Source organism: Homo sapiens, chromosome 22 (assembly GCF_000001405.40).
Source record: "Homo sapiens chromosome 22, GRCh38.p14 Primary Assembly".
NCBI classification, from domain to species: Eukaryota; Metazoa; Chordata; class Mammalia; order Primates; family Hominidae; genus Homo; species Homo sapiens.
In genome coordinates, this window is record NC_000022.11 from 24,217,154 (window position 1) to 24,245,144 (window position 27,991).

The window sequence follows — 27,991 nt, forward strand, 5'->3', positions numbered from 1 at the left end:
GGTGGTTTGTGCCTGTAGTCCCAGCTACCTGAGAGGCTGAGTTGAGAAGATGGCTTAAGCCAGGGAGGTGAAGGCTGCAGTGAGCCAAGATCATGCCACTGCATTCCAGCCTGGGTGACAGAGCCAGACCCTGTCTCAAAAAAAATGACAGAACAGACTCTGTGGCAACAAGATACCAAATTATAAAGAGGACCCAAGGCCAAGCCAGGCAGGGGTTAATTCATGGACCCTGCACTTAAAGAATAAACTATGTTCTAACAGCAATGAGGCTTTCCTTTTCCTCCAGCAGCAACAAGCACCGGCCTGAAGCAACATTAATACACTTTGCAGCTCATCCAGCTCACGGATGCCAACTTATTGACCCCCTGTTTTTCCAGGCATAACTACAGCTCCGACTGGACAAGAGACTGATTTCAGTAACTTTCTCCTGATAAGAGACCATTGACCATGAACTGGCTCTGGCTGGTTTTCAGAAGTTGCTCACTTGCAGGCCTTCAGGCCCTGAAAAGATGTTTTGACAGATGGGGCCTAATTGTAATACATTTTATTTTATTTTATTTATTTTATTGAGATGGAGTCTCACTCTGTTGCCCAGGCTGGAGTCCAGTGGCACCATCTTGGCTCACTGCAACCTCCGCCTCCTGAGTTCAAGCAATTCTTCTGCCTTGGCCTCCTGAGTAGCTGGGATTACAGGCGCCCGCCACTGTGCCCGGCTAATTTTTATATTTTTAGTAGAGTTGGGGTTTCACCATGTTGGCCAGGCTGCTCTTGAACTCCTGACCTCATGTGATCCACCCGCCTCGGCTCCACAAAGTGCTAGGATTATAGGCGTGAGCTACCGTGCCTGACCTTGTAATACATTTTAATGTTAAGTCTCCACCGTCTTCATCCTACAGCAAACATGAGTCCTATGTTACATGCATGTTCGTTCAATACACATGTGTCAAGACTGCCTTCATGAATATTCATAGCTCTCCCTGTAACATGTTGAATATGTATGTTTAGCCAACCCCTTCAGCATACAGCTCCTGCCCCAACCTCTCCTCCTTAGAAGTGCCTATCTCCGGATCACGAGATCAGGAGATCGAGACCATCCTGCCTAACACAGTGAAACCCCGTCTCTACTAAAAATACAAAAAAAATTAGCCGGGCGTGGTGGCGGGCGCCTGCAGTCCCAGCTACTCGGGAGGCTGAGGCAGGAGAATGGCGTGAACCTGGGAGGTGGAGCTTGCAGTGAGCCGAGATCGTGCCACTGCACTCCAGCCTGGGCAAGAGAGCGAGACTCCATCTCGAAAAAAAAAAGAAGTGCCTGTCTCTGGTCTCTGCCAGAGGCTATGCTTTTGAAAGTGGCGGATGGCCACCCTGCAGTCTGTAACCCTTTATGAAAAATAAAGTTGCCGCTGTGGCTCACACCTGTAATCCCAGCACTTTGGGAGGACAAGGCAGGCGGATCACTTGAAGTCAGGATTTCAAGATGAACCTGGCTACATGGTGAAACCCCATCTCCACAAAAAATACAAAATGAGCCGAGTGTGGTGGCACGCACCTGTAATCCCAGCTACTCAGGAGGCTGAGGCAGGAGAATCGCTTGAAGCTGGGAGGCAGAAGTTGCAGTGAGCTGAGATTTTGCCACTGCACTCCAGCTTGGGCAACAGAGTGAGACTTTGTTTCACAGAAAAAAAAAAAAAAAGAAAGTAAGTTGGGGGATGGGGGAGAGCTTCAGGAAGAATAGCTAATGGATGCTGAGCTTAATACCTAGGTGATGGGTTGATCTCTGCAACAAACCACCAAGGCACATGTTTATCTATGTAACAAACTTGCACATCCTACGTATGGGCCCCTGAACTCAAAACACAAGTTGAAGGAAAAAAAAAAAAGAAAGTCTTGTCGGGCATAGTGGCTCACACCTTAATCCCAGCACTTTGGAAGGCCGAGGAGGGAGGATGGCTTGAGACCAGGAGTTCAAGACCAGCCTGGGCAACATAGCGAGACCCTGTCTCTACAAAAAAAATTTTAAAAATTGGCCAGGTGTGGTGTTGCACACCCGTAGTCCCAGCTACTTGGGAGGCTGAGGCAGGAGGATGGCTTGAGCCCAGGAGGTTGAGGGTGCAGTGAGCCGTGATTGCACCACTGCACTCCAGCCTGAATGACAGAGCAAGACCCCATCTCAAAGAAAAAAGAAAGAAAGAAAAAATGAAAGGAAAGAAGAAAGAAAAAAGTCTCTTTTCCAAATTTGTGAATTGTGTGATTTTTCAGTTAACCAGCTCTCAGGTCTGGGGCCAGTCACGCTGCTGAGTCCTGGCCACCAGAGTGGTGAGGTGTTGGGAGGCAGAGGTGGTGCTTGTCTCTGTCCAGGGGTGGCCTGGCTGAGGTTCGGCTGGTCCACGAGCATCAGTTTCCCCACCTCCATGGTGGTGGAATGTGGAGAGCCATAGGAGCCTGGTGCATGCACCCCTCTGTGCACTGTCCGAGGGTCCCCTCCCCACTTAGAACCATGGAATCAGGCCACAGTCCGCCTCTTTAATCTTGGACTGGAGGATATACAGATCGAGAGGGTGGGAGAGTGGCCCCAGGCAAGAGGCCTGCGGAGGGATAGAGGGGCCGGTTCAGGACCACCAGGGGCTCTGGGAAAGGGGGTTAGGGATGAGGCTCAGCCTCTCATCTGCCCAGCTGGTCCCCGCCACCTCTTCCACTCTCAGCTGGACTCCCCTGCCAGGGGTCCAGATCCTGCCAGAGTAGTTGGTCCCCCAGCCATGTCCGGCCTGGACACAGGACTCATGGTGGGGCCAGACTTCAGCTCTGGGCAGAGCAGTGTCTTAGTAGCCTGCGGCCTCCCCACTCTTCCTCAGGTCCGAGACGGCGTACACACAGGCCCCCTCCTGGGACACAGCCTGGACCACGTTCAGGAAGAAGGGCCTCTGGGTCTGGTTCTGGCCACGGTCTTGGAGTCCCCTCTGCACCTCCTGGAGAGGAGAGAAAGCAGGTTCACAGGGGAGGGCAGCTCAGCCCATCTCCAGGAGGGAGAGGCCTCTGCAAGAAATGAGAAAAATGATCAAAAGGCAAGACGGAGAGGAAGAGGGCCTGAAGACACAGGAAGAGGGGAGGACCAGATGGGAGCATGGAAGAGATCCAAAGGCCCATAGAGGACAAGCTCAGCCTCCAGGGACTATGTACGAAGGACACCACCCAGGCCCGAAGACCTCCAAATGCAAGTTCATGTCTGTTCTGGATCCAAGGACACCAGGGCCTTGAGGTGCAAATCTGAGTTCAGGGGGCCTTCGATGGAGGATGTGGCTTCTCAAGATTTAGACACTGAGGCCAGACACAGTGGTTCACACCTGTAATGCCAGCAATTTGGGAGGCTGAGGAAGGAGGATCACTTGAGGCCAGGAGTTTGAGACCAGCCTGGGCAATGCAGCAAGATCCTGTTTCTAAAAAATAAAAAATAAGAAATAAAAAAAAGCCAGGCGTGGTGGCACATACCTACAGTCTTAGCCACTTGGGAGCCAAGGTGGCAGGATCACTTGAGGCCAGGAGTTTGAGAACAGCCAGGGCAACAAAGCAAGACACCGTCTCTAAAAGAAAATCAAAAATTGGGCTGGGCGTGGTGGCTCACACCTGTAATCCCAGCACTTTGGGAGGCCGGCGCAGGAGGATCTTTTGAGCTCAGGAGTTCAAGACCAGCCTGGGCAATGTAGCAAGATCACGTCTTTATTAAAAAATAAAAGAAAAGAAAAAAGAAAAAATTAGTCGGATGTGGTGGCCCTGTGCTTATAGTCCCAGCTACTCAGGAGGCTGAAGCAGGAGGATCCCTTGAGGCTAGGAGTTTGAGGCTGCAGTGAGCTTTGATCATGACACTGCACTCCAGCCTGGGCAAAACAGCAAGACTGAAACCGCCTTTGCAAAATTATGACTGAGACAGGGAAAGAGATCTAACTTAATCGACTCCATCTTGCTTCTAACCTCCCAGTTGTCCTTGCTCATTCCTGGGTGTAGGCTGAACTAACTTTGAGAGAAACTTAGTTTATAGTTTAAAACAAAGACGGTAACAGCCCTTTCCCAAAGCAGACTTCCTTCTTGCCTGGGCACCAGACTGCCTTCGTAGGACTCACATTAGCCACAAGATTAGAAATTATGGTTTAGGAGTCACGCAGCTGAAGGCTAAAGATTCTGACCCTCCCTAAACTGCTCTTAAGATCAGTGCTTGAGAAATTTTGCAGACCCTGCACTTGATGGATCAGCTGGCACCATCCAGATCGATTAACTGGCTCATCTGACCTTGTGGCCCCCACCCAGGAACGGACTCAGCTCAAGAAGAAAGCTTCAACTCCCTATGATTCTATGATTTCCAGGGGTTTTTTGTGTGTGTCTGTTTCTGAGATGGAGTCCCGCTCTGTCACCCATGCTGGCGTGCAATGGCACGACCTTGGCTCACTGCAACTTCCCCTCCCAGGTTCAAGTGATTCTCTTGCCTCAGCCTCCCCAGTAGCTGGGATTACAGATGCCTGCCACTTTGCCCAGCTAATTTTTGTAATTTTAGTAGAGACAGGTTTTCGCCATGTTGGCCAGGCTGGTCTCCTGACCTCAGGTGAACCACCCACCTCAGCCTCCCAAAGTGCTGGGATTGTAGGCGGGAGCCACCGCGCGCAGCCAACTCCCTATGATTTCATCCCTGACCTATCAGCACTCCTGGCTCATTGGCTTCCCCCAACCCGCCAAGTTGTCCTTAAAAACACTGCTCCCTAGCCAGGCGCGGTGGTCATGCCTGTAATCCCAGCACTTTGGGAGGCCAAGGTGGGCAGATCACCTGAGGTCAGGAGTTTGAGACCAGCCTGGCCAACATGGAGAAACGCTGTTTCTGCTAAAAATACAAAAATTAGCCAGGCTTGGTGGCACACACTTGTAATCCCAGCTACTTGGGAGGCTGAGACATGAGAATTGCTTGAACCCAGGAGGTGGAGGTTGCAATAAGCTGAGATCGCGCCACTGCACTCCAGCCTGGGTGACAGAGTGAAACTTTGTCTCAACAACAACAAGCCAAAAAAACAAAACAAAACAAAACAAAAAAAACTAATGGCCCGAGAACCTCACCCTGCAGGGCCTGAGATTCCGGAGACATCTAGATGCATCGGGTGATGCCACATGGCCTGAGCTGCTGACAGGGCAAATGAGGTCTTTGGAGCCCTGCACGTTTGGCTATGAGTTCCCCATGCCTGACCTACTAATTGCCCACTGTCCTTAGACTTGAAGGCCAAGATCCTTTACTGCTGAAGCCAAAGTTGGACCTTCAGTGCTCAGAGACTCCATTCCTCAGAGTCCACTGGCCAAACTCCAAGACTCTGAGGATCAAAGACTCTCCTCGCCCTAGTCCCTGGGCCTTAGCTGTGAAGGTCCTTGGAGGCTTAAAGTCTCCAACCCAGAGTTTAGGATTTACTCCATGGAAAGCCCTAGACCTGAATAGCTGACATTCCAACTCCCCAAGGGAGCTGAGAACCTTAGGTTTGTGGGTCACTGGATTCCATTAATCCCAGTCCCCAGACTGTCATCTCCCAAATTCTCAGCATTTCACGTCCCCAGGGTGAAAGGTCCTGAGAATTGATGTTCACAAAGACAAAGGTCCTTCAGTCAAGAGTCAAGGGAGGGGCCGGGCGCGGTGGCTCACGCCTATAATCCCAGCACTTTGGGAGGCCAAGGCGGGCGGATCACAAGGTCAGGAGATCGAGACCATCCTGGCTAACACGGTGAAACCCTGTCTCTACTAAAAATACAAAAAATTAGCCGAGCGTGGTGGTGGGTGCCTGTAGTCCCAGCTACTTGGGAGGATGAGGCGGGAGGATGAGGCAGGGGAATGGCGTGAACTCGGGAGGCAGAGCTTGCAGTGAGCCAAGATCGTGCCACTGCACGCCAGCCTGGGCAACAGAGCGAGACTCCGTCTCAAAAAAAAGAAAAAAAAAGAGTCAAGGGAGGGCCAGGCACAGTGGCTCATGCCTATAAGCCCAGCACTTTGGGAGGCCAAGGTGGACAGATCACTTGAGATTGGGAGCTCAAGACCAGCCTGGCCAACATGGGGAAACCCCATCTTTACTAAAAATACAAAAATTAGCCAGGTGTGGTGGCGCACATGTGTAGTCCCAGCTACTCAGAGGCTGAGGCAGGAGAATTGCTTGAACCTGGGAAGCGGAGGTTGTGGTGAGGCAAGATCATGCCACTGCACTCCAGCCTGAGTGACAGAGTGAGACTGTCTAAAAAAATAAAAATAAAAAAAGAGTCAAGGGAGGAGGGCTCCAAAGGATGTGCCCTGGATCTTGAAATCCTCCATATCTAAGATCCCTGGAACCCGAGAGCCCTGAGAGGGTCTTCCTGTCATGCGAAGGACCCTACATGCGGAGGGAGGCCTGCAAACTCCAAGAGTTTGAGCCTAACAGGCTGAGGTCCTTAGTCTCAAGGTCTGAAAACTAAGGCTCTTGGGACTACACTCTGTTCCTGGACTAAGGCCATGGTTCTCAGGTTCTAAGGGCTTTGGAAGGTGGACTTGAGACCGAAGAAGTCTCATAACAGGAGAGGCAGCTTTGACGATCTGGAACCTCAGCTGCTATCAATCTTTTTTTTTTTTTTTTTTTTTTTTTGAGATGGAGTTTTGTTCTTGTCACCCAGGCTGGAGTGCAATGTCACGATCTTGGCTCACTGCAACCTCTACCTCCTGGGTTCAAGTGTTTCTCCTGCTTCAGCCTCCCGAGTAGCTGGGATTACAGGTGTGTGCCACCACGCCTGGCTAATTTTTGTATTTTTAGTTGAGGCAGGGTTTTACCATGTTGGCCAGGCTGGCCTGGAAGTCCTGACCTCAGGTGATCCACCCGCCTCGGCCTCCCAAAGTGCTGGGATTACAGGCATGAGCCACCATGCCCGGCCACTATCAATCTTTTAAATAGGTCCTAACAAAGGGCATCCATCAACCCAAAGATGCTCCAAGGAAGCTGAGTCTCTGTCTAAGGATAGAGGGGGAGTCAGCCAGAAGAATTCAGCCCCTGGAGCTGCACCATGGGCTTCTGTGGGGAATCAAAAAAAATGTTTGTAGGCTGGGCATGGTGGCTCACGCCTATAATCCCAGCATTTTGGGAGGCCAAGGCGGGAAGATTGCTTGAGCTCAGGAGTTCAAGACCAGCCTAGGCAACATGGTGAGAGACCCTGTTTCTACGAAAAACAAAAAAATAAAAACTATCCAGGTGTGGTGGCACACACCTGTAGTCCTAGTTCCTTGGGAGCCTGAGGAGGAAGGATCACTTGAGCCCAGGATGTCAAGGCTGTAGTGAGCTGTGATCGCAACACTGCACTCCAGCCTGGGCAACAGAGTGAGATGCTGTCTCAAAAAAAAAAAAAATTATATATATAGTAAAAATTACCACCAATGCCCTAGTGCCCCAGAAGAAAATCACTTTACAGACTGTCACAGGAAAAACAACCTCTTTCACAAATAAAGTTGCAAATATTAGTTACAAATCACACAAGGAAAAAGTCACCATGAGGGAGAGTCTGAGAGGCCCCAGCCAGGAAAACTCACTTCTGAAAAATGGCATCAACCACAGACCAGAGACCAAGGTGCTGAGATCCTCAGCCTGGGAGCAGCATAGACAATACCCTGCTCTCTGTCTTGGAGGCCACAGAACTGGCCTGGAGGCCACTGACAGCCTCACCCATCAAGGTCCCCAACTCCTATGGCCCCCAAAGTTGAAGTGTACCTGGCCTAAGAATCTCAGTGACTGAGTTCCTCCCAGGTGGCTTTGAGCAGCACGGATTTGGGGAGTGGGCTCTGCCCTAGGCATCCAGCTCGGACCTCAGCCTCACCTGGCTGAAGTTGGGCTCGTACTCCACACAGCCCTTGCTGTTGACATGCAGGATGGGGGCTGCAATGGCCGCTCTCAGGTCAAAGCCAAGCCACAGCTTGCTCATGATGGCCTGGGGGAGAGATGAGGGTTTCAGGGAGAAAGGGGGCACCCTGCTACCCTACATCAGCCCTCACATCCCCACTCCAGAGACAGTCAGACAGTATGCTGCCCAGAGAGGAGACACTCGAGCCAGGAGCCCCAGACTCACCTGGGCCACAGCAGAGATGATGAGCTCCCCGCCAGCCCCGCCAATCACTAGCTTCGACCCCTGGGCTTTGTTGATCAAGATGGAGGGCACCATGGAGGATGGGGAACGCTCGCCTGGAACTGGGGGCCAGCACCTTCCGGGAGCTCCACCCACCCTGTCTCCACTCACTGCTGAGCAAACAGCGTCTTGGCAAGTGCAGTGACCCATCCAGGGGTTAGCATGCAACCCCAGCCCAGCCCCCTCCCTCCTCTCCCCTGGTGGGGGGCCCTTGTGGACCCCGGGTGGGAAGCTTTGTTCTCACCAGGTGAGGGGGTGGTGCCGGAACCCCGGGGGCATCGCTCGCATAAGTCCAGGAGCTCGTTGTTGAGGATGATGCCTGTCCGTGGTGAATACACCATCGCTCCAAAGCTGCAGCCGTGGAGGCAGAAGAGCCTGGGCTAGGACCCGGGGCTCCCACCAGACACCACTTACCCTGCACGCTTTGCAGGACCCCCTCGTTTTACAGCTGCCCCGAAGCATGCTGAAGCCGCTATTCTCTCCCTGGCACCACCCAGGAGGGGTCCCCAAAGACCCACCTGTGCCCCCACATCAGGGCACCCTTCTGAGTGAGGCTACCCATTCCCAGGTAAATCTTGGGTCGGGGCCACCCCAGCAGCAGCCTTTCCAGCCAGAGATGTCAGGGGTGGGGGCCTCTTTTGAAATAGAGGAGGAGAAAAAGGGCAAAAGCAAGGTGCTGCCCCGTGGGGACAAGTGAGGGGACATGGGGCTGGGGGTGTGCAGGTCTAGGAGAGGAGGAGTGAAGCCATCCGCCTTCCCCCAGGCCCTACGCACGGTGTGTTGATGGTGCTGGTGGCAGCCACGGCGCTGCCATCCTCCCCCAGCACAGACACATGGGACGTGCCTGTCCCGTGGCCCCAGGCCTCGGCCAAGCTGTAGTGGCTGAGCTGGTGGTCCCCCCGGCCATCGATCTGTTGGCGGATGAGCTGGGCCAGGGTCTCCCCCAGCAGGTCCCGGGAGGCATTCTGGGGTGGGTGGGCAGGTGGCAGGGTCAGTGAGGGGCCAGGCAGAATCCGCAGAACCAAGGGCAGGATGAGATCAGCCCCCATGGGGGCCACCTCCAGTCTGTCCTCTACCTTGTGGCCAGGTCTCCCTCAAGCCCAGCTAGGTCTAGACTCTGCTCACCCTCCAGGTCCTTTGAGATATGGTGCCACTCCTGCACCTGACCCCTGTACCTGCCACCCCGGGATCCCTTTCAGTCCTGCCCTGGCCTAGAACCACATACATATCCCTCCAACTTCCCCCTACCAGGCCTGACCCTCATTTCATGCCAAGTCCTGAGCCAGGGAGGAGGACGGCCCACCAGCCCAGCAACCTCAGCAACCTCACCTGGAGCTTCGGGTGGCTTCGAGGGTCCCCCAGCCTCCACCTCTGCCCCTTGGCAAACTTGAGCGTCTCTACAAGGTGGTGGTACACGTTCACCCTCCCTTCAGGCCTGGCCATAGACTCTGTTGAGAAGTTGAACCCTGGAGAGAGGTTGGGGCACAGGTTGGTTGGGGTCACCCTATGTAATGGGTTGAATGTTGCCCCCACCCCCCACCACAGAAAGATCCACCCACATCCTAATTCCCAAAACCTGTGGATATTACCTTATACAGCACAAGAGTGACTAATACCTTAAGTGGAAAAGTAAGTTAAGGATTTTTTTTTTTTTTTTTTTTTTTTTAGACAGAGTCTCACTCTATTGCCCAGGCTGGAGTGCAATGGCGCAGTCTCAGCTCACTGCAATCTCTGCCTCCTGGGTTCAAGTGATTCTTGGTCCTTAGTCTCCTGAGTAGCTGAGACTACATGTGTTCGCCACCACGTACAGCTAATTATTTTTGTATTTTTAGTAGACAGGATTTCGCCATGTTGTTCAGGCTGGTATTGAACTCCTGGCCTCAAGTGATCTGCCTGCCTTGGCCTCCCAAAGTGCTAGGATTACAGGCGTAAGCCATCATGCCCCGCCTTTTTTGTGTTTTTTGGAGAGGAAGTCTTGTTCTGTCACCCAGGCTGGAGTGTGTGGCACGATCTCAGCTTACTGCAATCTCCACCTCCTGGGTTGAAGTGATTCTCCCGCCTCAGCCTCCCAAGTAGCTAGGACTTCAGGCACAGGCCATCATGCCCGGCTAATTTTTGTATTTTTAGTAGAGATGGTGTTTTACTGTGTTGGCCAGGCTGGTCTCCAACTCCTGACCTCAAGTGATCCACCCTCCTTAGCCTCCCAAAGTGCTGGGATTACAGGCATGAGCCACCACACCCGGCCTAAAGTACGTTAAAGATTTTGAGAGGAGGAGATGATCCTGGATTATCTAGATGTGCCCTGAATGTGACCACAGTGTCCTTGTAAGACAGACACATAGAGGAGAGGACACACAGCAGAGGAGAAACCAGTATGATCATGGAGACAGAGACTGGAGTGAGGCAGCCACAAGCCAAGGAATGCTGGCAGCCACCGGAAGTGGGAAGAGGCTGTGAAAATTTTCAAAATAGAGCGGCAGCCAGCCACAGTGGCTCACACCTGTAGTCCCAGCACTTTGGGAGGCCGAGGCTGAGGTCAGGAGTTCAAGACCAGCCTGACTAACATGGTGAAACCCCATCTCTACAAAAATACAAAAATTATCCAGGCATGATGGTGGGTGCCTGTAACCCCAGCTACTAGGGAGGCTGAGGAGGGAGAATTGCTTGAACCCGGGAGGAGGAGGTTGCAGTGAGGCAGGATTGCACCACTGCACTCCAGCCTAGTAAACAGAGCAAGACTCTGTCTCAAAAAAAAAAAAAAAAAACAAAACAAAAAAAAAAAAACTCTGAAAAATAGAGCCAGGGAAAGGCCATGAAGACAGGACTCTCGTGCACAAGTGCCCCGTTCTCGGCTGGGTGCAGTGGCTCATGCCTGTAATCCCAAAACTTTGGGAGGCTGAGGTGAGAGGATTGCTTGAGTCCAGGAGGTTGAGGCTGCAGTGAGCCTTGACAGTGCCACTGCACTCCAGCCCAGGTGACAGAGCAAGACCCTGCCTCAAAAACACAACAGCTCACAACCTTACAAGAAGGCCATCACAATCTTACACAAAAAATACTTCTGCAAAGACATCTGCCCATGAGTGGCCTGTCCAGTGCCACCCTTATCACTTTTCCATGCATCCTACTAGCCAAGGATGATCATTTCAAAACAGTTTTTTTTTTTTTTTGAGACAGAGTCTCACTCTGTTGCCCAGGCTGGAGTGCAGTGGTGTGATCTCAGCTCACTGCAAGCTCTGTCTCCTGGGTTCACACCATTCTCCTGCCTCAGCCTCCCAAGCAACTGGGACTACAGGTGCCCGCCACCACGCCTGGCTAATTTTTTGTATTTTTAGTAGAGACAGGGTTTCACTGTGTTAGGCAGGATGGTCTCGATCTCCTGAACTCATGATCCGCCTGCCTTGGCCTCCCAAAGTGCTGGGATTACAGGCGTGAGCCACCATGCCAGGCCCGAAACAGTTATATACCAAAGCTAAGCTATGAGGACGCAAAGGAATAAAAATGATATAATGGGCCAGGCATGGTGGCTTATGCCTATAATCCCAACACTTTGGGAGGCCGAGGCAGGTGGATCACCTGAGGTCAGGAGTTCAAGAGCAGTCTGGCCAACATGATGAAACCCTGTCTCTAATAATACAAAAATTAGCCGGGCATGGTAGCACACATGGGTAGTCCTAGCTACTCGGGAGGCTGAGGCAGGAGAATCGCTTGAACCGGGAGGCAGAGGTTGCAGTGAGCTGAGATCGCGCAATTGCACTCCACTCCAGCCTGGGTGACAAGAGCAAAACTCCATCTCCAGAAAAAAGAAGGAATGATATAATGGGGCCCAGCATGGTGGCTCACACCTGTAATCCCAGCAATTTGGGAGGCCAAGGCAGGCAGATCACCTGAGGTCAGGAGTTCAAGAGCAGCCTGGTCAACACGGTGAAACCCCATCTTTACTAATAATACAAAAAAAAAAAATTAGTTGTGGTGGCAGGCGCCTGTAATCCCAGCTACGTGGGAGGCTGAGGCAGGAAAATCGCTTGAACCCAGGAGGCAGAGTTTGTAGTGAACCGAGACGCACCATTGCACTCCAGCCTTGGCGACAGAGCGAGACTCTGTCTCAGAGGAAAAGAAAAATGCTCTAATGGACTCTGGGAACTCAAGGGGAAGGGTGGGAGGGGAATGAGGGATAAAAGACTACACACTAGGAACAGTGTACACTGCTTGTGTGATGGGTGCATCAAGATCTCAGAAATCACCACTAAAGACCAGATGCGGTGGCTCATGCCTGTAATTCCAGCACTTTGGGAGGCTGAGGCAGGCAGATCACTTGAAGTCAGGAGTTTAAGACCAGCCTGGCCAACATGGTGAAACCCCATCTCTACTAAAAAAATAAAATAAATAAATAAATTAATTAATTAACCAGGCTTGGTAGCGTGCACCTGTAATCCCAGCTACTCAGGAGGCTGAGACTGGAGAATTGCTTGAACCTCAGAGGCAGAGGTTGCAGTGAGCTAAGATCATGCCACTGCTCTCCAGCCTGGGCCACAGAGTGAGATTCCATCTCAAAAAAAAAAAGAAAAAAAAAAGAAATCACCACTAAATAACTTTTCCATGCAACCGAACACCACTTGTTCCCCAAAAACTAATGAAATAAAAATAAAATAGCCAGGCAGAGGTGGCTCACGCCTGGAATCCCAGCACTTTGGGAGGCTGAGGCAAGTGGGTCAGTTAAGGTCAAGAGTTCAAGACCAGCCCGGCCAACATGGTAAAACCCCGTCTCTACTAAAAAGATAAAAATCATCTGGGCGCGGTGGCTCATGCCTGTAATCCCAGCACTTTGGGATGCCGAGGTGGGCGGATCACCTGACATCAGAAGTTCAAGACCAGCCTGACCAACGTGGCAAAACCCCATCTCTACCAAAAATACAAAAATTAACTCGGTGTCGTGGCAAGCGCCTGTAATCCCAGCTACTTGGGAGACTGAGGCAGGAGAATTGCTTGTACCTGGGAGGCAGAGGTTGCAGTGAGCTGAGATCGTGCCATTGCACTCTAGCCTGGGTGACAGATTGAGACTCTGTCTAAAAAGAAAAAAAAAAAAAAGGAAAAAAAGAAAAGATAAAAATCAGCGGCGTGTGGTGGCCCATGCCTGTAATCCCAGCTACTTGGGAGGCTGAGTCAGGAGAATCACTTGAACCCAGGAAGCAGAGTTTGCAATGAACCGAGATTGTGCCACTGTGCTCTACCCTAGGCGACAGAGCAAGACACCGTCTCAATAATTAATAATAATAATAATAATAATGCAATGAAAAAAATAAAATGTACAATAAATTATCATTGATTGTAAACAAAAAAGTTATATAATCTTCCTCATTTTCTCTTTGAAAACTTTTGTCTTCCTTCACCTCCCTGAATACACACATAGTTTACCCTAGCATGGGTATTCCTACCGCGATGCCTACTCTGGAACAAACATCATTTTCTTTGAGAGCCTTGTTCTGTTTTTTATTTAGGTCAACAAGGCAAAGAACAGATTCTCCCCTGGAGCCCCCAATGGAATGCAGCCCTGTGGACACCTAGATATCGGGCTTCTGGCTTCCAGAACTGTGAGAGGACACATTTCTGTTATTTTAAGCCACCAAGCTTGTGGTGATTTGTAATGGCAGACACAGGACACTAATATTAAGCCAGCGCAGGCAGCCCCAGGCCTCAGCACTGCCAGAACCCCCCTGCAGGCTGCCTTGGGCTAGGCTGGCTTCGCTCCCCCAGGTGCACGCCCCTGACAGGCAGCTCACCACCCACACAGCCCACCTGCTTCTGTGTCTGGGACTGGTCACCCAGTGGGAGGAGGACTCTGGACGAATGATATCACGCCCTTCAGCAAAGCCTCACGTATGGGTCGAGCTGGAGGCCAGCTCTAAAACCCACCATCCTGATTGGTTTCCACAGCTCTGTCTTCATATTGTGCATCTGTGAACCCGGTTTATGGAGGAGGAGGCTGAGCTGGGCCTTGGCTGGGCTTGGGCTTGGAGTCTGAGTTCCCGGGGGCCGGGGGTGCGGGGGAGGGGGTGGGCGCCAGGGCTCTGGGCAGGGGCTTTACCTCTTAGCACGTTGAGGATAAAGCTGAGAATGGCACCCCCTGCAGGCGGCGGTGGTGAGTACAGGGTATAGTCCCCCAGGGGCACCTCCAGGGCATCCACCACCTCGGGCTGGAACTTGGCCAGGTCCTGCAGCGTCAGCTGGCTCCCTGGGATGAGAAGGAGAGGGCTCCATGAACAGATGGGAAACTGAGGCGGGGAGGAATAGCCACTGCTGTCAGGTCACACAATGGGATTCCACTCATGCTTTTGCCTTGTGGACACAGGATGATGGTAGGTCTGTAGGCAGTGGCCTCAGGACTGGCCCCTTGGGGCCAGGCGTGGAGGGGTGGACAGAGACCAGAGGCAGGGAGGCTGGGGAAAAGAAAGGGAAGATGGGAGAGGGAGCTGGCTTATGAGAGCCTGTGAGAATGGTCAGCTCGGCTACCCAGACCTGCCGTGACCATCGGTAACGCCCCTCTGCTGGCCCTAACCCGCAGGCTCTGCTCTCTGAGGTCCTGGACCACAGGGGTCCTTGGGCCGGCAGAGCTAGGTGCATGGCCTCTCGGGGTCCCGGGCACTGCCTGCACTCCCTCAGGGCCTGGGAAGGAGCCTGCCCTCAACCCCCAGTGCCCAGAACTTGGCTCTTCCTCCAGCAGGGATGGGGTATGGAACCTCAGGGAGGCTGACCTTCCTTGGCAATGTCCTCCACCAGCATCTGGCCCAGCCTCCCCGTGTAGAAGACCTCCACGCCCTCTGTGGCCACGGTCTCCAGGGTGGTGGCCAGTGCAGGCCATGGGAGTGGGTCCTGAGGCCTCAGGGGTTCTGTCCCGTTGAAGAAGAGCTGGCTGGGGGGTGGGGGGAGCCTCAGGGTGGGGCCAGGTCCCAGAGGCAGCCACACTCTTCCGGGGCTCTCATGGGTGGAGTCCTCAGGACCCTACAGTGGGGGGCGCCCTGGCCCAGGGTCCCGAGGCACTGGGGTGGACACCGGGGAACTGATTCTCTAGGAGGTGGTGGGACTGACACCACTCACCCAGCTCATGGCCCTGGTCCAGGGAAGGCAAATTTCCCAGTGGGGCCTGGGTCCACCTAGGGCCTGTCATCTCACTCCTGGGAGGGCCTGTCAGTGGGCTGGGTGGGGCAGGTGAGAGTGGCAGTTGAAGCCCTCCTGCCATGCCAGAGAGAGGAAGAAGGAGGCCGGGGCCCCAGGGCGGGTGGCAGAGCCCAAATCCACACCTTGGAGTCCTATCACTTGGGCAATAAACTCCCCGCAGCCTAACCCCAAGTTAGGCTCTGCCACGGGGAGCTGGAAGGGCCATGAAAAGTACTCTTTGTCCTGGCCAGCACCCCGAGGGTCAATCCTCCAGTGTAAGAGGGACTGAGGCAGAGCTGGGGTGTGGACTGGGCCCAGACAGGATATGGCCTTGAACCCAGGAACCCAGGGCCACCATGTGGGGCTCACCGCAGGGTTGACGCCTGCAAGGAAGGCCGCAGGATGCTGTTGTGCAGGAAACGGCTGAGGACAGGGGCCACCACATGCCCCCCTCGGAGCAGCGCGATGGTGGGCTGGAACAGCTGCGCCCAGGGCAGGCGGCCATGGCGGCGGTGGGCCTCGGCATAGCCACGGAGCTCCCCGGGCACCCCGATCCACTGGGCCCCTGCATGGCACATCCCAGCTCTCAACCCTGTGGCTTCCAGGCCTTCCCAGGTTTGCCATCACCCCTACATGTGGCCCCCCAGTTACAGCAGCCAGAGTGAGCTTTCTGGAGCCCACACCCGACCACGTCCCTCCCTGCTCAAATCACCTGTGGCTCCCCACAAAGTCCATGGCCAAGCCCAAGGGGCCCTACACAAACTGGCCCCAGGAGCCCCACCCTGCCCCGCCAACCCATCTCCACTGAACCCTCCAGGCCTTTGTCCAGCCTGGTCCCTCTCCCTGGATCACCTCAGAGAGCCCGTTCCCAAGGGGGACCTTCTCAATCCCTGCAGGTTGGGGCTGGGGGTTCCCCACAGGCTCCGTGTCCCCCCGTGCCAGGGAGTCACAGCCTGTCCGTGAGGCGCTGCTCCTTTGCGGGGGTGTTCTGATTAGTCCTAGTGGCCTGGGGGGTGGGAGTGGGGGACCTCCATGGGGCGTCACCTGTGCCCAGTGGCAGAGCCTGTGCACACTGGTCCAGCAGGCTCGGGGCGTGGCTGGCCGGCACCGTCTCCCGGGCATTGATGACCTCCACCTTCCCTGGAGTAGGGCAGGGCAGGTGAGTGGTCATGGACCCTGCAGACAGCCCCTGGCCTGCTCTAGGCCTCAGTTTCCATCTCTGCATTATGAGATGGACTCTGGGCTAACACAGGGACAGGAGTTGACACAAGGGCTTTGCACAGCTGAGGCAAATGGGGCAGGGCAGGGGGCCCAAGAACACCCAGAAACGGGCTTGAGTTGATGGGACTGGCTGGAGAAGGGGTTACGCAGTGGTGTGGACAAGCCCATCTTCCCCATGGCAGTTCACATGTGGGCCCACCTGTTGTCACATTGTAGATGGTGAAGATGACCCCTCCGCCCAGGCCCATGCTCTGAGGGTTGACGACGCTGGTGCAGACCAGAGCCGCGATGGTGGCATCCACGGGTGAGCCCTGCTGCTGGAGGATGGCTCTAGGGGACATGGCACAGAGTCGCTGTGGGGCTCCCCTCCCCCTGCCTCCCCACCAGGCTTGCTCAGCTGGCACTCATTGGAGAATGGTGACGGAGGCGGCACGTCGGCTGCCACCAAACCGCAGATTAGGTTGCAGAACACAACCAGGCTTCCCCATCAAATCCAGCTGCTCACAGGTCCACAACACACTACGGTTGCAAAGTGTGATGCCATTTACACTGACCTTTGCCATATACAAGGTGCTTCTCAGTTTGCAAAGTACTTCTGTTGCCATTGTTCCCAGCAGCACCAGCTCATATGCTACAGGCAGAACGAGGCCTCGGCCACCTCTCAGTCCCTCACAGTGGCCTCAGGAGCCCACCCTGGGACTCCACTCCCCATCTCACTGGGGACACTCTGGCCACAACTACTTCAAGGCTGGCCTTTGGCAGGTGATCCCAGGATCCTTCCCTGCCAGCAGGGCATAGGGCTTGAGCTGATGGACCCCAAAACTTCTCTTGGGACTCTGAGCCTATGGAAATTCTCTGGCCTAGGCTGGGTGTGGTGGCTCATGCCTATAATCCCTGCACTTTGGGAGGCCGAGGCGGATAGATCACTTGAGGTCAGGAGTTCAAGACCAGCTTGGCCAACATGGTGAAACCCCGTCTCTACTAAAAATACAAAAATTAGCTGAATGTGATGGCGGGCACCTGTAATCCCAGCTACGCAGGAGGCTGAGGCAGGAGAATTGCTTGAACCCAGCAGGCAGAGGTTGCAGTGAGCTGAAATCATGCCACTGCACTCCAGCCTGGGCAACAAAGCAAGACTGCCTCAAAAAAGAAAAAAAAAGAAAAGAAAAGAAAGAAAGAAAATAAATGCTCTGGCCTACCCCTCCCCATCTGTCCATGGGCAGCAAGAGGTGGGCCCTTTAGCACTGAGGGCTGGTCAGCCTGGCCTACATTATGATGATCCCTGTCCCTGGGGCACAGGCCTGCACAGCTCACTGAGGTCAACCTCTTCCCTAACACCCAGGAATCCTTCCTCCCCAGCACCTCAAGAAGCCAGCTTTTTTTTTTTTTTTTTTTTTTTTTTGAGACAGAGTTTCAATCTTCTTGCCCAGGCTGGAGTGCAATGACACTATCTTGGCTCATTGCAACCTCGCCTCCCGGATTCAAGCGATTCTCCTGCTTCAGCCTGCCGAGTAGCTGGGATTACAGGCATGCACCACCACGCCTGACTAATTTTGTATTTTTAGTAGAGACGAGGTTTCTCCATGTTGGTCAGGCTGGTCTCAAACTCCCGACATCAGATGATCTGCTCACCTCGGCCTCCCAAAGTGCTGGGATTACAGGCGTGAGCCACTGTGCCCGGCCAGAAGCCAGCATTTAAGCCCCAGTTGCAGATGGGGAAACCAAGGCCCAAAGAGGGAATGGACCTGGGTCCCTGCACCCACCCCGTGGGACCTCTGGCCCTAGCACCCTCCTTTGGCTCAGGTGTCTGTCCTGACCTAGCATGTCCATCTGGACACAAACCCACCCCAGCTCCTGAGCCACATGTCCCTCTCTGGGCCCACACGTGGCACACATGGGCACCACAGGGACACATGTAATCTTGGAACAGGAAAGAGAGCACAAAGCCAGAAAATGAAATAAACAAGTCAGGCATAAACACTAATTTTTATAAGAATAAAACACCATAAACAAAGCCAAATGACAAACTGGGGGAAAAAACACTTTAAACTCCCATCCCAGACAAAGGCCTCACTTCCTAACTAAATGGAGTGCACCCTTGCTTCCCCAACCTGTCTGCTTCCAGCCTAGTCAGTTGTCTTGGCTTCCAGGGCAAAATGGGGTAAATGGTTACAGATGGGGAAACCAAAGCCCCAAGAGGGAATGGGCCAGGTCCCTGCACCCACCTCGCCCACCCTGCCAGGCTTTGGTTTTCGTCCCACCTCCCTGGTCTCCTGATGTTGGGGGCCCCAGGCTTGGTCCATGGTCCTTGTGCATCTATATCTTCTCCCTGGGTGAGTCCATCCAGGCTCATGGCATGAGATGCAACCTGTGTGATGGTAACTCCCCGACTTTAACTCCGCCAGTCCTCTCCCTACACTCGAGACACTTATACCCAGCTATGCACAAGGTACCCACTCTGGGTGTCTAAGAAACATTTCAAACATACCATGACCTAAACTGTACTTTTGATTTTCCTTCCAACCGTCCCTGCGAAATGGCTCCTCTCCTAGTCCTCGTTGTCTTAGAAATTGACACAACCACTCCCCCTTTTGCTCAGCGCCTACACCCTGGAGCCATCCTGGATTGGTCACTTTCTTCCTTCCCCACATCCAACCCACCAGTGACTCTGGATGCAGGTTCTACCTCCATCTCCACCACACTGGTCCAAGCCACCAACCTCTCTCAGCTGGGTTATTGCAATGGCCTCCTACCCAGGCCCCAGCGTTGGCCTTGCTCCCTTACATTTTAAAAAAATAATCTGTTAAGGCCGGGCGCGGTGGCTCATGCCTGTAATCCCAGCACTTTGGGAGGCCCAGGCAGGCAGATCATGAGGTCAGGAGATTGAGACCATCCTGGCTAACACGGTGAAACCCCATCTCTATTAAAAATACAAAAAATTAGCTGGGCATGGTGGCGGGTGCCTGTAGTCCCAGCTACTCAGGAGGCTGAGGCAGGAGAATGGTGTGAACCTGGAAGTCGGAGCTTGCAGTGAGCCAAGGTTGTACCACTGCACTCCAGCCTGGGCAACGGAGAGAGACTCCATCTCAAAAAAAAAAAAAAAATCTGTTAAACGTAAATCAGACTTCCTGGTAATGGGAGACTGTAATTCAGACCACACTTCCCTCAGAGAACTAGAAAAGCCCAGCAAATAGAAAACATGTGCTTAAAGGCATAGGAGGCAGAGAAGTACAGGGCTGGAGACAGGCAAGGCCAGCATTCCCCTCAAGGTGACGGCCAATCCTGAAGAGGAGGCTGAGAAATAGATCAGGGATTCTTTTTTTCTTTTCTCTCTTTTTTTTTTTTTTTTTGCTTTTTATTTTTCTGAGACAGGGTCACCATTACTTTTAATGGCAAAAACCGCAATTACTTTTGTACCAACCTAATATATTGCTCTGGCTGGTCTCAAATTCTTGGCCTGAAGCAATCCTCCTGCCTCAGTCTCCTGAGTAGCTGGGACTATAGGCGTGAGCCACCACACCTGGTCTAGAGCAGTGCTGTTGACCTACTCATGTGCTGAGGGAGGGGATGCCATAATGCCCCACACGTGGGGTGCAGGTTTCTTACTCTAGGAGTCAACTAGAAATAGAGCAGCCCTCAGGAGCACTGGATCCAGCTTCAAATCATCTCAGTCACTCAAATGCATAAAGGAGATCCCAGAATTTCAGATCCCTAGGCCTCAAATTATTTTATATTTATTTATTTATTTATTTGAGACAGCATCTCACTCTGTTGTCCAGGCTGGAGTGCAGTGCCTCGATCTCGGCTCACTGCAACCTTCACCTCCTGGGTTCAAGCAATTCTCCTGTCTCAGCCTCCCAAGTAGCTGGGATTACAGCCACCAGCCATCACGCAGAGCTAATTTTTGTATTTTCAGTAGAGACAGGGTTTCACTGTGTTGGCCAGGCTGGTCTTGTACTCCTGACCTCGTGATCTGCCTGCCTTGGCCTCCCAAAGTGCTGGGATTACAAGCGTGAGCCACCGCACCCGGCCTCTAACAATTTTTATACATACTCTCCAGTGCCAAATTAAAAACAACCAAGCAAACAAGGAAATAAGACAGCAGGAACAAAGCTCATGAGAAAGCACAGACAACTTTTAAAAAGGTCCATAGGATCTCCAGATTATGAAATTGGCAGACCATGTACTTTAAAATAAGTACTTTGTATCTATATTCAAGGATATAAAGAAATAAGAATTTTATCAAAGAACTGTCATCTATTAAAAATGGAGGCTGGGAGTGGTGGCTCACGCCTGTAATCCCATCACTTTGGAAGGCCAAGGTGGGTAGGTCACCTGAGGTCAGGAGTTCGAGACCAGCCTGGCCAACGTGGTTAAAACCCCATCTCTACCAAAAATACAAAAATTAGCCAGGTGTGGTTGTGGGCACCTGTAATCCCATCTACTTGGGAGGCTGAGGCACAAGAAACATTTGAACCCAGCAGGTGGAGGTTGCAGGAAGCCGAGATCTTCCCACCACACCCCAGCCTGGGGGACAGAGTGAGGCTCCGTCTCAAAAAAAAAAAAAAAAAAAGGCCAGGCGCGGTGACTCACGCCTGTAATCTCAGCACTTTGGGAGGCCAAGGCAGGCAAATTGCTTGAGGTCAGGAGTTTGAGACCAGTCTGGCGAATATGGTGAAACTCTGTCTCTACTACAAATACAAAAAAATTAGCAGGGCATGGTGTCATGCGCCTGTTGTAATCCCAGCTACTTGGGAGACTGAGGCAGGGGAACTGCTTGAACCAGGGAGGTGGAGGTTGCAGTGAGCAGATATCGTGCCATTGCACTTCAGCCTGGGCGACACAGTGAGACCCCATCTCAAAAAAAAAAAATACAAAAATTAGCCAGGCGTGGTGGCTCATGCCTGGAATCCCAGCTACTCAGGTGGCTGAGACAGGAGAATCACTTGAACCCGGGAGGCAGAAGTTGCAGTGAGCTGAGATCACGCCACTATACTCCAGCCTGGGCGACAGAGCAAGACACCGTCTCAAAAAAAAAAAAAAAGTGAAAGTGGAATATATATATATGTGTGTGTATATATATGGAATATATATATATATATATAATATATATTATATATTTATATATATATAATATATTATATATATATATATATATTTATATATATATATTATATATATTATATATATAATATATATAATATATATTATATATTTTATATATATATATATTATATATATTATATATATAATATATATTATATAATATATATATATATATATAATATATATATAGCCCATGACACAGTCCTCAGGAGATCCTTGACCATGTGCCCAAAGATATTTTTTCCCAAAGATATTTTTATAAATAAAAATAAAGGGTGGCCAGGCGTGGTGGCTCACGCCTGTAATCCCAGCACTTTGGGAGGCCGAGGCGGGTGTATCATGAGGTTAGGAGATCGAGACCATCCTGGCTAACACAGTGAAACCCGTCTCTACTAAAAAATACAAAAAATTAGCCAGGCGTGGTGGCGGGTGACTGTAGTCCCAGCTACTCGGGAGGCTGAAGCAGGAGAATGGCGTGAACCCAGGAGGCAGAGCTTGCAGTGAGCCGAGATTGTGCCACTGCACTCCAGCCTGGGCGACAGAGCGAGACTCTGTCTCAAAAAAAAAAGGGTAACAGAAGAGGTAAACGTGTGGGTAAATCTAAATGAACGTTATTGGTATAAAATTATAGTAGTATAGAAAATGATATCTTGTGGGGCTTAAAATAAAACATACTGAAATATGTATGGGTAAAGTTATATATCTGGGATTTGCACTGAAATAATGTAGGGTAGAGGGAAGCAGGAAAGAGTATACATGAAATGAGCTTGGCCATAAGATTGTTGTTGAAATTGAATGGATACTCGGGGCTTCATTACACAATTCTCTTTACTCTTACATAGCTCTACACTCTCAACATAAATAAGAATAAAAACACAAAAAACACACAGATACATCTATGCACACACATATATTTAAAATACACAAAAATATTAGCATATAAGTCACTGGGGGTAAATTTAGTTCCTGTTCCAAGGTTCTTCTACTGACTAGGAAGAGGATAGAAGTACTAACTCATAGGCTGGGCGTGGTGGCTCACGCCTGTAATCCCAACACTTTAGGACGCCGAGGTAAGCAGATCTCTTAAGGTGAGGAGTTCAAGACCAGCCTGGCCAACATGGTGAAACCCTGTCTCTACTAAAAAAGAATACAAAAATTAGCCGGGCATAGTGGTGCACACCAGTGGTCCCAGCTACTCAGGAGACTGAGACAGGAGAATTGCTTGAACCCAAGAGGTGGAGGTTGCAGTGAACCAAGATTGCTCCACTGCACTCCAGCCTGGGCAGCAGAGCAAGACTCCCTCTATCTCAAGAAAAAACAAATAAACAAAAAAAAGTACTAGCTCATGTTAGACTTTGATAAGTGAAGGATGCATGTTGTAAGCTCTAAAATAATCTACTGTCATCTTTTAAAATAACCCCAAGACTGCACAGTTAGGAAACTAATAGAGAAAAAGGAAATTGAATAATAAAAATAATAAATGCAAAACAAGATGTGAAAGGAGATAAGAAGAAACAGAATAGGCATGGAAAACAAGTTGGTGGTGGGTTTCAACCCAAATAAATCATCACCTACTTTTAAAAGGACAATCAATAAAAATTAAAGTAATTGGAAATAAAGTAAAACCCAATGCCTTTTATGTAAGGATACAGAAAGGTGGAAAATAATGAAAAATATATCATGCATGCACTAACCAAGAAAGCTGTATAACTTTTTTTTTTTTTTTGAGATAGAGCCTCACTCTGTCTCCCAGGCCGGAGTGCAGCGACGTGATCTTGGCTCACAGCAATCTCTCCCTTCTAGCATCATGCGATTCTCCCCGCTCAGCCTCCCAAGTAGCTGGGACTACAAGTGTGCCAACTTAGAATTATATTAGCCACACCCAGCTAATTTTTGTACTTTTTGTCTCACCATGTTGCCCAGGCTGGTCTTGAACTCCTGGGCTTCAGCGACCCACTCACCTTGACCTCCCAAAGTGCCAATTACAGGCATGAGCCACCATGCCCAGCATAACTATTTTTAATGAAGTAGACTTTAAGAAGAAAAGTATTATTAGAGATAAGAGACACATCATGGAAAAGAAGAAATTACTAGGAGACGGGTGCAGTAGTTCATGCCTGTAATCCCAGCACTTTGGGAGGCCAAAGCGGGCAGATCACCTGAGGTCGGGAGTTTGAGACCAGCCTGACCCACATGGAGAAACCCTGTCTCTACCAAAAATACAAAATTAGCCAGGTGTGGTGGCGCATGCCTGTAATCCCAGCTACTCAGGAGGCTGAGGCAGGAGAATCGCTTGAACCCAGGAGGTGGAGGTTGCGGTGAGCCAAGATCGTGCTATTGTACTCCAGCCTGTGCAACAAGAACAAAACTCCATCTCAAAAAAAAAAAAAAAAAAAAACACGAGGTTACTAGCTAGTTTCAGTATTACTTAACATCCAGGAAACTGGATATAGAAGTTTTTTTAGAGAAACTAAACCAATAGGTTATACATAGAGATTTATTTAGGAATTGGCTCACATGATTTTGGGGACTGGCAAGTTTAAAATCTGTAGGGCAAGCCAGCAGGCTATAAATTCAGGTAAGAGTTGATCTCGAAGTCTGGAACCTAACATCTGTAGAGCAGTCAGCAGGCCAGAAACTCAGGCAGGGTTTGTGTGTTATAGTGTTGAAGCAGAATTCCTGCTTCTCTGGGAAACCTCAGTTTTTGTTCTTACGGCCTTCAACTGATTGGAGGTGGCCCACCCATATTATGGTGGGTAATCTGTTTTACCTAAAGTCAACTGACTGTCAGTGTTAATCACATCTATGAAATAACCTCCCAGCAAGATATTGACAAGTATTTGACCAAACAACGGGGCACCAGAGCTTAGCCAAGTTGACACATAAATTAACCATCAGGAACGAGTAGAATATCCAAAAAACAACATACTAGGGGTATTATATCTTATATAGCTATTATAATTATATAAAACATATAATTATAGAATGAAGATATTAAGATAACCATTAGAACAAAAATATAAACTTTTCTTTCTTTCTTTTTTTTTTTTTCCTGAGACCAAGTCTTGCTCTGTCACCCAGGCTGGAGTGCAGTGGTGCAATCTTGGCTTACTGCAACCTTTGCCTCCTGGGTTCAAGTGATTCTCCTGTCTCAGCCTCCCAAGTAGCTGGGATTACAGGCACCCGCTACCATGCCCAGCTAATTTTTGTATTTTTAGTAGAGACGTGGTTTCACCATGTTGCCCAGGCTGGTCTCCAACTCCTGACCTTAAATGATCCACCCGCCTCAGCCTCCCAAAGTGCTGGGATCACAGGTGTGAGCCACCACACCCAGCCAAAAATCACCTTTTTTACAAGGATCAAAACAGTCATTATGCTGGAGATAACAGACCTCACTGTCACCATGCTCCTTTTGTATGTCTACTAGGCACGGTGCTGGGTCCACACTCACAGAAAGCTTAGGAGCTTGCACCCAGGGGCTCCGGCTGTAGCAGAATCCCAAGAATAAAACCTAGTGCTGAAAGAGTAGGAGATGGGGCTGGGTGCCGTGACTCACTCCTGTAATCCCAGCACTTTGGGAGGCGGAGGTGGGCAAAGCACGAGGTCTAGAGTTGGAGACCATCCTGGCTAACATGGTGAAACCCCATCTCTACTAAAAATACAAAAATTAGCTGGGCGTGGTGGCTAGCACCTGTAGTCCCAGCTACTCAGGAGGCTGAGGCAGGAGAATCATTTGAACCAAGGAGGCAGAGGTTGCAGCGAGCCGAGATCATGCCACTGCACTCCAGCCTGGTGACAGAGCGAAACAGCATCTCAAAAACAAAACAGAAAAAAGAGCAGGAGACTGGACTCTGGGAGGGCCTCCTGGTGAGAGGTGAGCACAGAGGGGAGAGATGATGGAGTCAGGAGCATGGGCTTCTGGTGGCCCCAGCAGACCCTGTGGCAGTGTGGCCAGGGGCCTCTGCAAGGAGGGATCTTGGCCAGGATGACGCTGCAGCAGGCCTCTTCCTGAGGCCCCCCAGCCAGTCCGGCCAGGGTCCCAGTGTCCAATGACCCCTGTTCCGCAGCAGCAGCTGGGGCCAGCCCCAGGCTCTCTTCCACTCCCAGCTTCTTAAGACAGGAAGTGGAGAGAGTTGTTTGACAAAACACTGGGGCAAACCACATCCTCTCTCTTCAAGGGACAGTTTGAGGGGATGCCAGCAGAGGGAGCTTTAGAGTAGAGACCCCTACCCAACCAGTGACCGTCACGCACACAGCAGGGCACGCTATGGAGACCCCCAGACAGTCACTCAGGGAGACCCAGCAGGTCCAGACTCCACCTAGAAATTTGTGGCAGCAGGTCCCCACTCCCAAAGGCCACATGCCCACGGGTGGTCTCTGGTGCCTGAGACTCCAGTCTCATTTGCATCTTTGCAACTTCGAGTTTAAGTGGGTGTCGCATCCTGAATGTCCTCCTGAGCAGAGGAGGGGCACAGCCTGGGGTGGCGGCTGGCGTCAATCCCTCAAATCCCCTGAGAGCCACTGGGGAGACTAAGCAGTCCCCAGCCCCGACTTGTCCCTGAGCTGCCATTCTCAGCCCTGTGGGAGGAGACAGAAAGACCTGAAGAGAAACCAAAGGACCAGGTCAGGAGGGGCGGGGGGTGGCATGAGAAATCAGGGCAGGGAAGGATGGACAGATGGGGGAATGGAGGGAAGAAGGAATGAATGAAAAGGTGAATGAATGAACAGAGAGAGAGAGCAGCCACTCCTCCCTTGCTTTAATTTACAAAGCACTGGGATCCTCCCAACAGCCTGCAAGACAGAACTTCTGGGAAGCAGACCAGGTGGCTGGCAGGGAGGGGAGGCTTGCCCTGGCTTTTGTGGGCCCAGTGGGAGGCAGGGAGCAGGAAGGGGCATCCTGTATGTGTCCTCTGCAGCAGCAGCAGCGGAGGCCTCCCTTGGGCTGGGCTTCCTGGAAGAGGGTCAGGAAACACCCGCTGTGGCCCCTCTCCACCACGCCCTCATCCAGGACACCAAGTATCAGTCACTCAGCTCACGAGACCCAGGCCCTGACTCAGGGAGAGAGGATGTGAGGGGTGGGGCACCGGGCTCCTCAGGACTGAGAGACCCGAGATGTGGCCCCAGGCTGGGTGTTGGGGCAGACTGGCTATGGCAGCATTGTGTGTACCCCAGCAGGCCAGTACCCACGCAGGGAGCCTCCAAACCCCTTCACCCATGACCCTGGGAGAAGACCGCAGCCTTGGAGAATTGGCCTCACTGAAGGGGCCTGCACCGGCCAGCAGGGTCAGGCGGGGCCAGACAGGTTCCCACCTGGGATATGCAAATGGGCCTCCTGAATCCTGGAGCCAGGCGTGGACTCACACACCACCATTGTCCCCAAGTCCCCATCTGCCCCACGAGCACACCCTGCCACCTGTTCTGTGCAAGGGCCCTGAGGCTGCCTCCTTGCGCCCAAGACCTGCAGGTGCTGAAGCCCACACACACACGGCTCCTGCTTCCTGGGCCAGTGCACGTGCACACACACACACACACACACCCACCCACACATACACATACCCACACACAATCACACACATTCACACACACCCACACTCCCCACACTCACACTCACATACACTCACACACACCCACACATGCATGCAATCACACATACCCAGACACTCACACACACACCCACACATACATTCACTCACACACACACACACACACACGCCTTCTCCAGGAGGGGCTGGCTGCCAAGGGCCACCCAGCTTCCTCCCACGTCTCACTCACCGTCCAATATCCGAGCAGACCTTGGAGTCGGCGGCAACAGCAGCGTGGGCAAAGGCCTGGGGGCCACATGGGGCCTGGTGTCGAGAGAGGACCACAGCCAGCACAATGACAGCCAGCGCCAGCCCCAGACCCAGCAGGACTAGGCTGACCGTGGCCCCGTAGCCCCGGGCCATGGCTCTGCAGCCCAGGAGGAGAGGGGCGGCTGGTGGGCAGACGGAGGGACGGATGGGTGGGCAGATGAATGGACAAGAAGATGCACAGAGTCACAGGTAATTGGACAGATGGACAAACAGGTGGGGGCTGAAGACAGACACGAAGATGGATCGACAGATAGGCCAGATAGCTAGACAAAGAGGACAGTAAGAGAAAGATGGTCAGATAGACAATGGGACAGAGATGGGCTTACAGATGGGCGGACAGACAGACAGGTCTGAACAGCGGGCTGCCAGATGGACAGATGGGTGAATGGACAGATGGCTGGCAGCTGTGGCGAGCTGCTGCCCTCACCAAGTGCACACTACGGAGTGGCCAAACTCACGCCTCAACTTCTGGTTTTCAGCTCCTGCTTGTTGCTGGCAGGAGGCCAGGCAGC

General features: G+C 51.8%; 1 protein-coding gene across 18 annotated transcripts, besides 3 other annotated features; it reads right to left on the reverse strand.

The window, feature by feature from the left end:
• Positions 1 to 2,500: 2,500 nt before the first annotated feature.
• GGT5 (gamma-glutamyltransferase 5) lies at positions 2,501 to 27,989 on the reverse strand. Of its 18 annotated transcripts, none has more exons than XM_005261558.4 (13): positions 27,400 to 27,989; positions 16,721 to 16,851; positions 16,345 to 16,440; positions 15,670 to 15,865; positions 14,898 to 15,055; positions 14,231 to 14,377; positions 9,478 to 9,614; positions 8,923 to 9,113; positions 8,393 to 8,499; positions 8,092 to 8,258; positions 7,843 to 7,953; positions 3,339 to 3,431; positions 2,501 to 2,963 (listed from the first exon to the last, which is right to left on the reverse strand). In XM_005261558.4, exons 1-13 carry the CDS (start codon positions 27,570 to 27,572, stop codon positions 2,817 to 2,819), a joined length of 1,854 nt encoding a protein of 617 aa, XP_005261615.1. In that variant the 5' UTR covers positions 27,573 to 27,989; the 3' UTR covers positions 2,501 to 2,816. The 18 variants fall into 18 exon arrangements, with proteins under 18 accessions (XP_005261615.1, XP_005261614.1, XP_011528435.1 ...); XM_005261557.4 differs by having other exon boundaries at positions 8,092 to 8,261; XM_011530133.3 differs by having other exon boundaries at positions 8,092 to 8,276.
• Positions 26,226 to 26,275: an enhancer, noted in NCBI's record as "active region_18766". NCBI's record gives its function as "activates an Ori minimal core promoter by ATAC-STARR-seq in GM12878 lymphoblastoid cells {active_cell/tissue: GM12878}" and the evidence as "EXISTENCE:reporter gene assay evidence [ECO:0000049][PMID:35858748]".
• Positions 26,710 to 27,265: an enhancer, noted in NCBI's record as "H3K4me1 hESC enhancer chr22:24639831-24640386 (GRCh37/hg19 assembly coordinates)". NCBI's record gives its function as "activates a minimal SCP1, AML or CMV promoter by ChIP-STARR-seq in naive H9 embryonic stem cells {active_cell/tissue: H9 hESC(naive)}" and the evidence as "EXISTENCE:reporter gene assay evidence [ECO:0000049][PMID:30033119]".
• Positions 27,266 to 27,821: an enhancer, noted in NCBI's record as "H3K4me1 hESC enhancer chr22:24640387-24640942 (GRCh37/hg19 assembly coordinates)". NCBI's record gives its function as "activates a minimal SCP1, AML or CMV promoter by ChIP-STARR-seq in naive H9 embryonic stem cells {active_cell/tissue: H9 hESC(naive)}" and the evidence as "EXISTENCE:reporter gene assay evidence [ECO:0000049][PMID:30033119]".
• Positions 27,990 to 27,991: the final 2 nt, after the last annotated feature.